The sequence below is a fragment of the Homo sapiens genome, chromosome 13 (genome assembly GCF_000001405.40).
Source record: "Homo sapiens chromosome 13, GRCh38.p14 Primary Assembly".
Taxonomy (NCBI): Eukaryota; Metazoa; Chordata; class Mammalia; order Primates; family Hominidae; genus Homo; species Homo sapiens.
Window position 1 is genome coordinate 32808386 of NC_000013.11, and position 12287 is coordinate 32820672.

Here is a 12287-nt window from a genome sequence, read left to right on the forward strand (position 1 = left end):
AGAAAATTTCATAGTGAAAAATAAATTAAAAAGGGCACTATCCACATTATTTAATCTTTGTTATTATTGTTTTGTTGACAAGGCCAATGAATGTATGTCATACTCTACAAAATTGTTATTTTAAAATTGTCTTGATGACATATTAGCTTACAATTTATATCTCATGGGAGAAGATCGCTCGTGGGATTTTTTTCTTTTGAATTTTGACAGTTCCTCTGGGACAAAATACTAGGTAAAGAGTGCTTTATTCTAGTGTGTGAGTAGATTATAATCTGTTAAACTGAGGGTGAAGGATAGATTAAGAATAACTTTTTTCTAATGTAGATTCAAATAAAATATTAATCATAATGAAAACAGTTCATTTAGTTCAATTAGTCCTAGGTAATTTTTGTTATGTTGAGCTTGGGCTTTTGATTTTTTAAGAACATTTAATACCATGAAGTTCAGTTTCTGAAAAATGTACAGTTCAGTGGATTTTAGTATATTCACAAAATGCTGCATTAATCACCAGTTTTACTGCAAAACATTTTTATCACCTCTAGAAGAAACCTCATACTCACTTTTCCCTTCCCTCAGCCCGTGGCAAGTACTAATTTACTTTCTGTCTCTATGGATTTGCCTATTCCGAATATAGCATATAAACGGAATCATAAATACATGTTTTTTTGTGCTTGGCTTCTCTCACTTAGCACAATACTTTTAAGATTCATCTGTATTGTATAGCCTGTATCAATACTTCCATTGTGTGGATGTACCACTGAATTAGTTTCCCATGGCTGCTATAACAAATTACCACAAAATTGGTTGCTTAAAACAGCACACATTTATTGCCGTACAGTTCTGGGGGTCAGAAGTCTGAAATCAATTTCTCTTGGCTGAGATCAAGGGTCAATAGGGCCATACTTGCTCTACAGGCTCGGGGAGAGTCCATTTCTTCACCTTTTTCAGCTCCCAGTGACTGCTGGCATTCCTTGGCTTATGGCTCCTTCCTCCATCCTCCAAGCCAGCATGTAGCATTTTGCTTCAGTTGTCACATTGCCTTCTGTTCTGTAGTCAAATCCTCCTCTACCTCCCTCATATGGGGACCCTTCAGATTACATTGGGTCCACCTGGATAATTCAGGATATGCTCCCTCTTTTAAGGTCCTCAAGGTAGCCAGGCATGGTGGGTCATGCCTGTAATCCCAGAACTTTGGGAGGCTGTGGCAGGAGGGTCGCTTGAGCTGAGGAATTCAAGACCATACTGGGAAACATCTCTATAAGGAAAAAAAAAAAAAAAAAAATAGCCAGGTGTGGTGGCATGCAACTGTAGTCCCAGCAACTTGGGAGGCCAAGGTGGAAGGACTGCTTGAGCCCCAGAGGTTGAGGCTGCAGTGAGCCAAGATGGCGCCACTACACTCCATGCTTGGGTGGCGGAATAAAACCTTGACTGGAAAAAAATTCTTAACGTGATCCCATCTGCAGAGTGCTTTTGCCATATAAGATAACAACCACAGGTTCCAGGGGTTAGGGCCACTGGAGGCCACTATTCAGTCTATCAGAACCACAGTTTGTTTATCCATCATTAATTAACGAGCATTTGGTTTGTCTACATTGTCGCTGTTATGAATAAGGCTGCTCTGAACATTCATTTACAGGCTTTATGTGGACAAGTGTCTTCAGTTCTCTTGGGTGTATACCTAAGAGTAGAAATGCTGTGTCACATGTCACAGCAATTTGAGGAATTGCCAAACTGTTTGTTTATTTATTTATTTATTTAGACGGAGTCTCGCTCTGTCGCCCAGGCTGGAGTGGCGCCATCTGGGCTCACTGCAAGCTCCGCCTCCCGGGTTCACGCCATTCTCCTGCCTCAGCCTCCTGAGTAGCTGGGACTACAGGCGCCCGCCACCATGCCTGGCTAATTTTTTGTATTTTTTAGTAGAGACGGGGTTTCACCATGTTGGCCAGGACGGTCTCGGTCTCTTGACCTCATGATCCACCCACCTCAGCCTCCCAAAGTGCTGGCTGCACCATTTTCCATTTCCACTATCCATGTATGAGGGTTTCAATTTTTCCACATCCTTACCAACATTTGTTATTGTCTGTCTTTTTGAGTATAGCTATTTCAGTGGATGTGAAGTGGTGTCTCGGTGTGGTTTTGATTTGCATTTCCCCGATGACTAACGACGTTGAGCATCTTTTCATTGGCTCATTGATCATTTATCTGTCTTTCAAGAAATATCTATTGAGGTCCTTTGCCTATTCTAAAACTAGGTTATTTTGTTGAGTTGTAAGAGTTCTTTCTATATTCTAGTTATAAGTCCCTTATTAGATATAGGATTTTCAAATATTTTCTACTGTCTTGTACATTGTCTTTTCAATTTCTTCATGTTGTCCTTTGAAGCACAAAAGTTGTTAGTTTTAATGAAGTTTACCTATCTTTTCTTTTGTGCTTTTGGCATCCTATCTAGTACCATGGCGACCTACCATGGTTCAGACCAATGGGAACCACCCCTTTTGACACTTATAGCTGTGTGGGTTATCTTAGAAAAGCAGGGCTAGACCAGGTGCGGTGGCTTACGCCTGTAATCCCAGCACTTTGGGAGGCTAAGGCAGGCGGATCATGAGGTCGAGAGATCAAGACCATCCTGCCCAACACGGTGAAACCTGTCTCTACTAAAAATACGAAAACTTAGCTGGATGTGGTGGTGTGCACCTGTAGTCCCAGCTACTCAGGAAGCTGAGGCAGGAGGATTGCTTGAACCCGGGAGGCGGAGGTTGCAGTAAGCCAAGATCGTGCCACTGCACTCCAACCTGGAGACAGTGAGGATCTGTCTCAAAAAAAAAAAAAAAGAAAAGAAAAGAAAAGAAAAGCACAGCTGGCCATCACCAGGGTCCCCTGCAGGTCCCCCAGGTCAGGCAGTTATTTATCACAGTACTTGGATGGGTTTTAACCACAGAACTCTATAAAGTCACAGAAAAATTACTTCAATGTGACAGAACCCAAACTAGGAAATAAGATCTCTTTGCGGTTTATGTTACACACACACACATACTCTCTCAACCATAATTAGACACAGCAAACCATAAATAAGATGCAGCGGGGTTCACATGTCACCTTCCATCTCTCTCATGAGAGAGCTGGAGGGCGCCTTCGTCAGTGTGGATCCTGTCCAGCCTGCTCCTCTGTGAGCTCCCTGACGTGGGAGCAGTGCTGTTCTGTGCTGATCTCGCCCAGCAAGTTGCTTCCTCCTTTTGAGACTTTGTTGTCATTTGTCTTGGCCTCCACTTACTCTCGATCTGTGTTCACTGAATCAACCACCCAGGGCTGTTGCTAGTGTCACATAACCTGGGAATGGCTTTACAAACAAAACAACACCCATTCCTGGGACCTGCTGCTCCTTTCTAGTCTCTGACCTGCAATCAGCTGCCTCTCTATTGCATCCCTGCTTTAGCCACAGGAAGGGTGCTTTGTATTCAGCATCTTTTTTCTTTAATTAAACAAAAACAAAACTTCTGAATTGGATCTTCTGTTGTAGGGAAATGCAATGTGTGTCATTCCTGGGGGACACTCCAGTGGGCATCTCTGCAGCTCCTGCAGCCGGCAGTGCTCACTCATTACTGCATGTCTACTGCGGCACAGGTGGGACAGGGACCCCACGGGGCCTGAGAATCACGTAGTAGGTCTTCAGCAAAGGCTGACTGAATGAGTACAGGTTACTGATGGAAACTGAGATCCTTAGAAATGGAGTAACTCTCTCTAGAGACAGAGGACGAACTAAGTGGCCTTTTCTAAGTGAGTACTCATCAACCTTTGGGGGAACAGATACCCAGTTTCATTATAATTCACTTTTCAATTTATTGGAAATACTGAATTTATTATTCAGTTTATTGATGAAATGGAAGTAACAGTCCCCTGCAGTGTGTGTATGTGTGTGTTTGCTGAAGGAGGTGGCCATGTATTTAATGGTAAATTTCAGTATCCAGAGCATTTCCTGCTTTTAGTTTTGATTTTCTTTTATGTTACTAGATACGTTCTTAACGTGATCTTAATGTAGTTAAGTTAGCTTATAACGGCTACGGGATAAAATAGGCTCCTAGACAGCACATTATAATGCCCCTTCTGAGAAAAGAATTACAGCAAAAGCTGGACCCAATTGTAATAACATTAAACTTATAAAAGCATGAAATTGCTTCATAGGGTGTACATGAATTAATATCTTCTTTGCACTGGTGGTTTTCCCATATAGTACATCACTCAGGCTCAGCAACACACAAGTATGCTTTTGTACCAGCGAAGATTGCATTGCAAAGCTGTATCATCTACTGGAAAAAAAAAGAATAAAAAAGGAAAAGAAATACCCAGAATAGTTTGGGCTGGTCCAGGAGTGAAGGACACTTTAAAGATTGCCTTTCTCCTGAACTCCTACCCTGCTCTCTGCCCTTTCTTGTGGACTGATGGCCTTTCATGAGTTGGCAGGACTTACCTATCTTGATCTTCTGGTCCCATGTAAAACGCACGTTCTTATATCCAGAGGATCAGAGCCAGCCTAGACAGCCCAACACCATGCAGACAACCGTGCCATGGACACTTCAACTCAACTGCAATGTCGATTTGTTTGCAAAGATGAGCCAGTACTGTAAATGTCAAGCAACATTGCTCTGTGCAGCAGAGTCAGCCATCTTTGAACTCACCAGAAAGTACCTATGAGACTTGCGGACTTTTGAGCATATTACATTGATCATGTTGAAAGGTAGAGGCAAAAAGAACCTGTTCCTGCCTGTGTAGCAGTTTTTATTCTTTTGATTTTGAATAAGAGTAACATTTTTTGGCCAGCACTTTGAAAATGGCCCTCTCTGAAGAACGGTTCTCTAGCATACTTATAAACGGGCGGTAACTTTTTTACTTTGGAATGACCTGCAAGGAGCTGCATCTTCCAGAACAGGTGAAAAGGCATAGGCTCTGGAATCAGAAAAAGCACGTTTAGCTGCAGGCTCTTAACACAGGGGGCCATATTCATCTCTGTATTGTTCCAGTTTTAGTTCATGTGCTGCCAAGGCAAGCACAGCCATAGCCTTTTAACATGTTTCCTGGCTTTACTAATAAATCCACAAAAATGGGAAAGATTTAAGACTTAATATTTTTAAAATGCAGATCTGATTCTGTCACTCTCACCCCTACCCTGATTTCCTCAGTGGCTTCCCACTGCACTTGGAATAAATTCACACTCTTTGCCATGGCCTAACGGCCCTGCACAACCTGGTACTTTCTACTCTCAGACCTCACTTTATTCCTCCTTTCCCTGGCCCCCAGCTCCAGTTATAGTCTCTCTTCCCTAGAACACCCCAGACTTGTTCTGCCTCTGGGCTATTGCACCTGTGATTCCCTTTGCTCGGAACTCTCTTTCCCTAGAGCTTCAGCTCTTCATATGCCTGCCTGTCACCCTTCAGATATCAGCTCAGCTGGGTGCAGTGGCTCACATTGGAATCCCAGTGTCCCCGTGCTTTGGGAGGCCAAGACAAGAGGATTGCTTGAGACCAGGAGTTTGAAACCAGCCTGGGCAACATAAGGAGCACCCCCTCACTACAAAGTTAGCTGGGTATGGTGGTGTGCACCTGTGGTCCCAGCTTTTCGGGAGGCTGAGATAGGAGGATCACTTGAGCCTGGGAGGTTGAGGCTGCAGTGAGCCACAGCACACCAGCCAGCGTGACACAGCGAGACTCTCAGAAAAACAAACAAACAAACAAACAAACCAAAAAACCAATCCCACTCCCTTAACAAAATTCAAATATCTAGCTCACATGAAAGTAGCACCTTTTAAGAGGTGATACTTTTTTTTTTCTTAAGTCAACTTTTATTTTAGATTCAGGGCGTACATGTGCAGGTTTGTTACTTGTGTATATTGCATGATGCTGGTGTTTGGGGTTCATAGTTGACCCTATCCTCCAAGTAGTGAGCATAGTCCCCAATAATTAGTTTTACAACTGTTGTCCTTCTTCTCCCTCCCCCTGTATTAGTTCCCAGTGTCTATAGTTGCCATCTTTATGTCTATGAGTACCCGATATTTAGCTCCCACTCATAAGTGAGAATATGTGGTATTTGGTTTTTTGCTCCTGCATTAATAATAGCCTCCAGCTGCATCCATGTTGCTGCAAAGGACATGAATTCCTTCTTTTTAATGGCTGCATAGTATTCCCTGCTGTATATGTACTTCATTTTCTTCATCCAGTCCACCGTTGATGGGCACCTAGGTTGATTCCATGTCTTTGCTATTGTGAATAGTGAAGCAATGAACATAATGAACGCATGTGTCTTTTTGGTAGAACGATTTATTTATTTTTGGATATATACCCAGTCATGGGCTTGCTCTAAGTTCCTTGAGAAATCTCCACACTGCTTTACACATTGGCTGAAGTAATTCATGTTTCCAGCAACAGTATATTAGCATCCTCTTTTCTCCATAGCCTTGCCAGCAGCTGTTATTTTTGGACTTTTTAGTAGTGCTTCAGACAACAGAATTGCTGTCATGGTGGGCTATAGACTGCATTCTAGACCCTGGAGCTACTGTAGCCCACGCCCCAGACCCTGGCTCCTCAGCTGCTGTACTAACACCCATTCCTGGCACACCATCTCCAACACTGCAGTGGAGGAGGGGGTGGCGCCTGCATCCCAGGCACCAGTGCCACTGCTGCCTCAAACCCAGGGGCCATGGTTCTTCCACAAGTACCTGAATTCCCAACCTTGGCCCTGTGGATACTTCACAGGTGCTGCACACCAGACAGTAGTGCCACTGCCACCATGAGCATGCCTGTGAGCTGGCTCTGGCTTCAAGAGGGATCTGTCACAACTTCACCTGTGGGAGAAGAGATCAGGAAGACCCCAGCATCCTTCACCACCCCATAAGCCCTTGCTGTCTTTGTAGACACCTGCAGCCTTGGCCACTGAGGACCCCTACCTCTCTACAGTTCTGTCAGCTGAGGTGAGCATTAGTGAAGATTATAGGGGAGGTTCTGGCCAAAGGGACCTCTTGGCACAATAAATGACAATAGTTAGTTCTTGCCTATCAATAATTACTTTAAATGTGAATGGATTAAATTCTCTAATCAATAGACATAGGATTTAAAAAATAAGATCCAATAATATGCTGTCTACAAGAGTTTCATCTTAGCTTTAAGGATACAAATAGGTTGAAAAAGATATTCCATGCAACTGGAAAGCAAGAGAGGGAAGAGGTAGTTATATCAGACAAAATAGACTTTTAGTCAAAAACTGTAAGAAGAGACAGAAATGTCAATATGTAATGATAAAGGGGTCAATTTATGAAGAAGACATAATAATTATAAATATATACACATCCAACACTGGAGCACCTAAATATATAAAGCGAATATTAAGAGATCTGAAGGGAGAAATGGAGAGCAATGAAATAATAGTAGATGACTTTAATACACCACTTTCAACAGTGGGTAGACCATCTAGGCAGAATACTAATAAGGACACATTGGACTTGAACTACACTTTAGACAAGGGGTGTCCAATCTTTTGGCTTTCCTAGGCCATATTGGAAAAAGAAGAATTGTCTTGGGCCACACATAAAATACACTAACAATAATGATAACTGATGAGCTAAAAAAAAATCACACAAAAAAATTTCATAATGTTTTAAGAAAGTTTGCGAATTTGTGTTGGGCCACATTCAAAGCCATCCTGGGCTACATGTGGCCTGCTGGTTGTGGGTTGGACAAGCTTGCTTTAGACCAAATGTACTAAGCAGATATATGCAGAACATGCCATTCAACAACAGCAGAATACCCATTCTTCTCAAGCTTGCATGGAATATTCCTAGGATAGATCATATGTTAGGCTACAAATGAATTTTTATCAAATATCTTTTCTGACCACAATGCTATGAAATTAAAAATCAACAACAGGAAGAAAATTTGAAAATTCACAAGTACATGGAAAGTAAAAACACTTCTAAATAACCAATGGGTCAAAGAAGAAATCAAAAGGGAAATTAAAAAAATTTTTGAAATAAATAAAAATGAAAATACAACACACCAAAACTTATGAAATGTAGCAAAAACAATTCTACAAAGGACGTTTATAGTGACAAATGCCTACATTATGAAAAAAGAAAAATCTCAAACAAATAATTTAACTTTACATTTCAAGAAACTAGAAATAGAAGAGAAAAAGAAGCCCAAAGTCAGCAGAAGGAAGGAAATAATAAAGATCTGAATAGAAATAAATGAAATAGAGGCTAGAAAAACAAACAGTAAAAAAAAGATCAATGAAACCAAGGGTGGGGCTTTTGAAAAGATGAAATTGACAAAACTTTAGCTAGACTAAGAAAAAAAGAGAAGACTCAAATAAATAAAATCAAAAATGAAAGAGGTGACATTACAGCTGGCACACAGAAATACAGAAGATTATAAGAGTTTACTCTGAGCAATTATATGCAACAAATTTGATAACCTAGAAGAAATGGATAGATTTCTTCAGGTACATTTCTATATGTACCCATGTAGGTATATATAACCTACTTAGAATTCTGAAGAAATAAAAAATCTGAACAGACCAATAACAAGTGATGAGATCAACTAGTAATAGAAAGTAATAAAAAGACTCTATCAAAAAACTATTAAACTAGTAAACAAATTCAGTAAAGTTGCAGGATACAAAATCAACATATAAAAATCAGTAGTGTTTCTGTACAGTAACAAGAACGTATCCAACAAGGAAATTAAGAAAACAATCCCATTCATAATAACATTAAAAAGAATAAAATACTTAGGAGTAAATTTAATGAAGGAGGCAAAACATCTGTACACTGAGAACTATAAAACATTGATGAAGGAAATTGAAGAAGACACAAATAAATGGAAAGACATCATGTTCATGGATTGAAATAATTAATATTGTTAAAATGGCCATACTACTGAAAGCCATCTACAGATTCAATGCAATTTCCATCAAAATTCCAATGACATTTTTCATAGGAATAGAAAAAAAAATTCTTAAATTGATATGGAACCACAAAAGACCCCAAATAACCAAAACACTTTTGACAAAAAGAACAAAACTAGATTTTAAATTATGTTATGAAGCTATAGTAATCAAAACAATATGCTACTACTACACCCCCCCCAAAAACCTCAGACGTATAGACCAGTAGAGTAGACAGCCCAGAAATAAACCCATAAATATGCAGTAAAGTAATTATCAATAAAGGCACAAAGAATACACAATGAGGAAAGGATAATCTCTTTCATAAATTTTGATGCTGGGAAAATGGAATATCCACATGCAAAAGAATGAAATCGAGCCGTTATCTTTTTTTTTTTTTTTTTTTTTTGAGACAGAGTCTCTCTCTGTCGCCAGGCTGGAGTGCAGTGGCACCTCCGCCTTGCGGGTTCAAGAAATTCTCCTGCCTCAGCCTCCCAAGTAGCTGGGACTACAGGTGTGCACCACCACGTCCAGCTAATTTTTGTATTTTTAGTAGAGATGGGATTTCACCATGTTGGCCAGGATGGTCTTGATCTTGTGACCTTGTGATCCGCCCACCTTGGCCTCCCAAAGTGCTGGGATTACAGGCGTGAGCCACTGTGCCCAGCCAAGCCTCTATCTTACAACACACACAAAAATCAACTCAAAATGGAGTAAGGAGTTGAAGGTAAGACCTAAAACTGTAAAACTCCTGGAAGAAAACATACGGGAAAAGTTCCTTGATAATAGTCTTGGCAATGAATTTTTTTGATTTGACACCAAAAGCACAGGCAACAAAAGCAAAACTAAACAGATAGAACCACATTAAACTAAAAAGTCACAAAGGGTACATAAAGCACAGCAAAGGAAACAATCAACAAAATGAAAAGCAGCCTATAGGATGGGAAAAATATTTGCAAACCATGTTTCCAACAAGGAATTAATGTCTTAAGGTACACGAGGACTCATACAACTCAGTAGTAACAAAAGCCAAATCACCCAATAAAAAATGTGCAAAGGACCTGAGTAGATATTTTTCCAAAGAAGACATATAAATAGGAAAGAGGTATATGTAAAGATGTCACTAATCATCAGTGAAATAGAAATCAAAACCACAATGATATGTCACTTCATACCTGTAGGATGGCTATTACAAAAACATTAAAAGTTAAGTGTCAGTGAGGATGTGGAGGAAAGGGATCCCTTATACATTTTTGGTAGGAACGTAAATTGGTGCAGCCATTATGAAAAACAGCGTGGAGATATCGCAGAAGCTTAAAAATAGAACTACCCTGTGATCCAACAATCCCACGTCTGAGTATATATCCAAAGGAAATGAAATTACTATCTTGAAGAAATATCTGCACCCTCATGTTCATCTCAGCATTATTCACAGAGGCCAAGATTTGGAAACAACATAAATATTAGTCAGTGGATGAATGGATAAAGAAAATGTAGTGTGTGTGTGTATACATATTTCATTTTATATATACATATACATTGTATATATAATGGAATATTATTCAGCCAACAGAAAGCTACCCTGACATTTGTGACAGCATGGATTGACATGAGGTTGTTATGCTAAGTGATATAAGCCAGACCCAGAAAGACAAATATTGCAGGATTTCACTTACATGTGGAATCTTAGGAAAAAAAAATTGAACTCATGGTAACAGAGAGTAGAATGGTGGTTACCAGGGCTGAGTGATTACAGGTGGGGTAGGGATTAAGGGTACAAACTTTCTGTCCTAAGATGAATAAGTTCTGGATACCTAAAGTACAGCACAATGACTACAGCTAATAATAGTGTATTGTACACTTGAAATTCTCTCAGGGAGTAGATCTTGTGTTACCAGGCACACGCAAAAAGGACACTATGTGAAGTGATGGATTTATTTTATTTTAGTTTATTTATTTTTTATTTTTTTTTGAGAGGGTGTTTCACTCTTGTTGCCCAGGCTGGAGTGCAATGGCATGATCTTGGCTCACTGCAACCTCCGCCTCCCATCAAGCAATTCTGCTGCCTCTGTCTTCTGAGTAGCTGGGATTACAGGCGCCAACCACCATGTCTGGCTAATTTTTGTGTTTTTAGTAGAGACGGGGTTTCACAATGTTGGTTAGGCTGGTCTTGAACTCCTGACCTCAGGTGATCCACCTGCCTCTTCTCCCAAAGTGCTGGGATTACAGGCGTGAGCCACCATACTCGGCCAGAAGTGATGGATTTGACTGGGGTAATCATCTTACCATGTATACATATATCAGAACATCACATTGTACACCTTAAATACACACAATTTTTGTTAATCATACCTCAATAAAGCTGGAAAAAAAGAATAAATTCAGTTCTATCATCTCTCTTCTTTTTAAAATTTTCACTGACTCTCCTGCCCTCATACACACATTTGCACAACTAGACACGTCCTAGCACATGTAGGTACCTTTCTTAAGACTCTCATTCAATCCTCACTCATCGATTTACTACGTTAGTCATTCATCCATTCACAAACCTATCTGCCTACTTCTTTCTTCTATGGGCTTCTTGAGGACAGAGTGAATGCATTTTATCTTTGTGTTCCAAGCACATAGTGGGGATGTAATACATCTTTCTTTAATGAATGAATGAATGTATGAATGTTTTCTCCAAAGAGCAGAAGTGAGCAGACAGTTGGCAAGTGAATTGGGAGAAGAGGAGAGAAAAATATTTTTAAAATATTAAAAAAATCTAATATGATTCTCTGTGGCATTACATGTGCTTCCTTATATAGTTACTGATTTGATCCTCACAAAAATCCTCCAAATGGGAGCAGATAATACTATTTGCCTTCAGAAATGAAGGGCCAGAGGCCTCGTGTGTTTGAGTCTGGACTGACAAAGTTAGCAGGTAGCGAATCTAAGACAAAAAGCCAGGTTTTTGGATTCCAAGTGCAGTGCCTTTTTGTTTTGTTTTGCATCCATCTAGGGTGAGTTTGTTTCTGATACAACACAATGAGATGCATGCTCTTTTTTTTTTTTTTTTTGAGACCGAATTTCACTCTTGTTGCCCAGGCTGGAGTGCAATGGCATGGTCTTGGCTCACTGCAACCTCCTCCGCCTTCCAGGTTTAAGAGATTCTCCTGCCTCAGCCTCCCAAGTAGCTGGGATTACAGGCACCTGCCACCACGCTGGCTAATTTTTGTATTTTTAGTAGAGACAGGGTTTTGCCACATTGGCCAGGCTGGTCTCGAACTCCTGACTTCAGGTCATCCACTCATCTTGGCCTCCCAAAGTGCTGGGATTAAGGGTGTGAGCCACTGTGCCCCGTGGAGATGCATGGTTTT

General features: G+C 40.4%; 1 long non-coding RNA gene across 1 annotated transcript in view; it reads right to left on the reverse strand.

Moving 5' to 3' along the window:
- Positions 1-804: 804 nt before the first annotated feature.
- LINC00423 (long intergenic non-protein coding RNA 423) overlaps positions 805-12287 on the reverse strand; it is a 102463-nt gene continuing 90980 nt past the window's right edge. The window contains exon 5 of the long non-coding RNA NR_047020.1: positions 805-1255. This is a non-coding gene — a long non-coding RNA (long intergenic non-protein coding RNA 423). The remainder of the gene's footprint in view (positions 1256-12287) is intronic.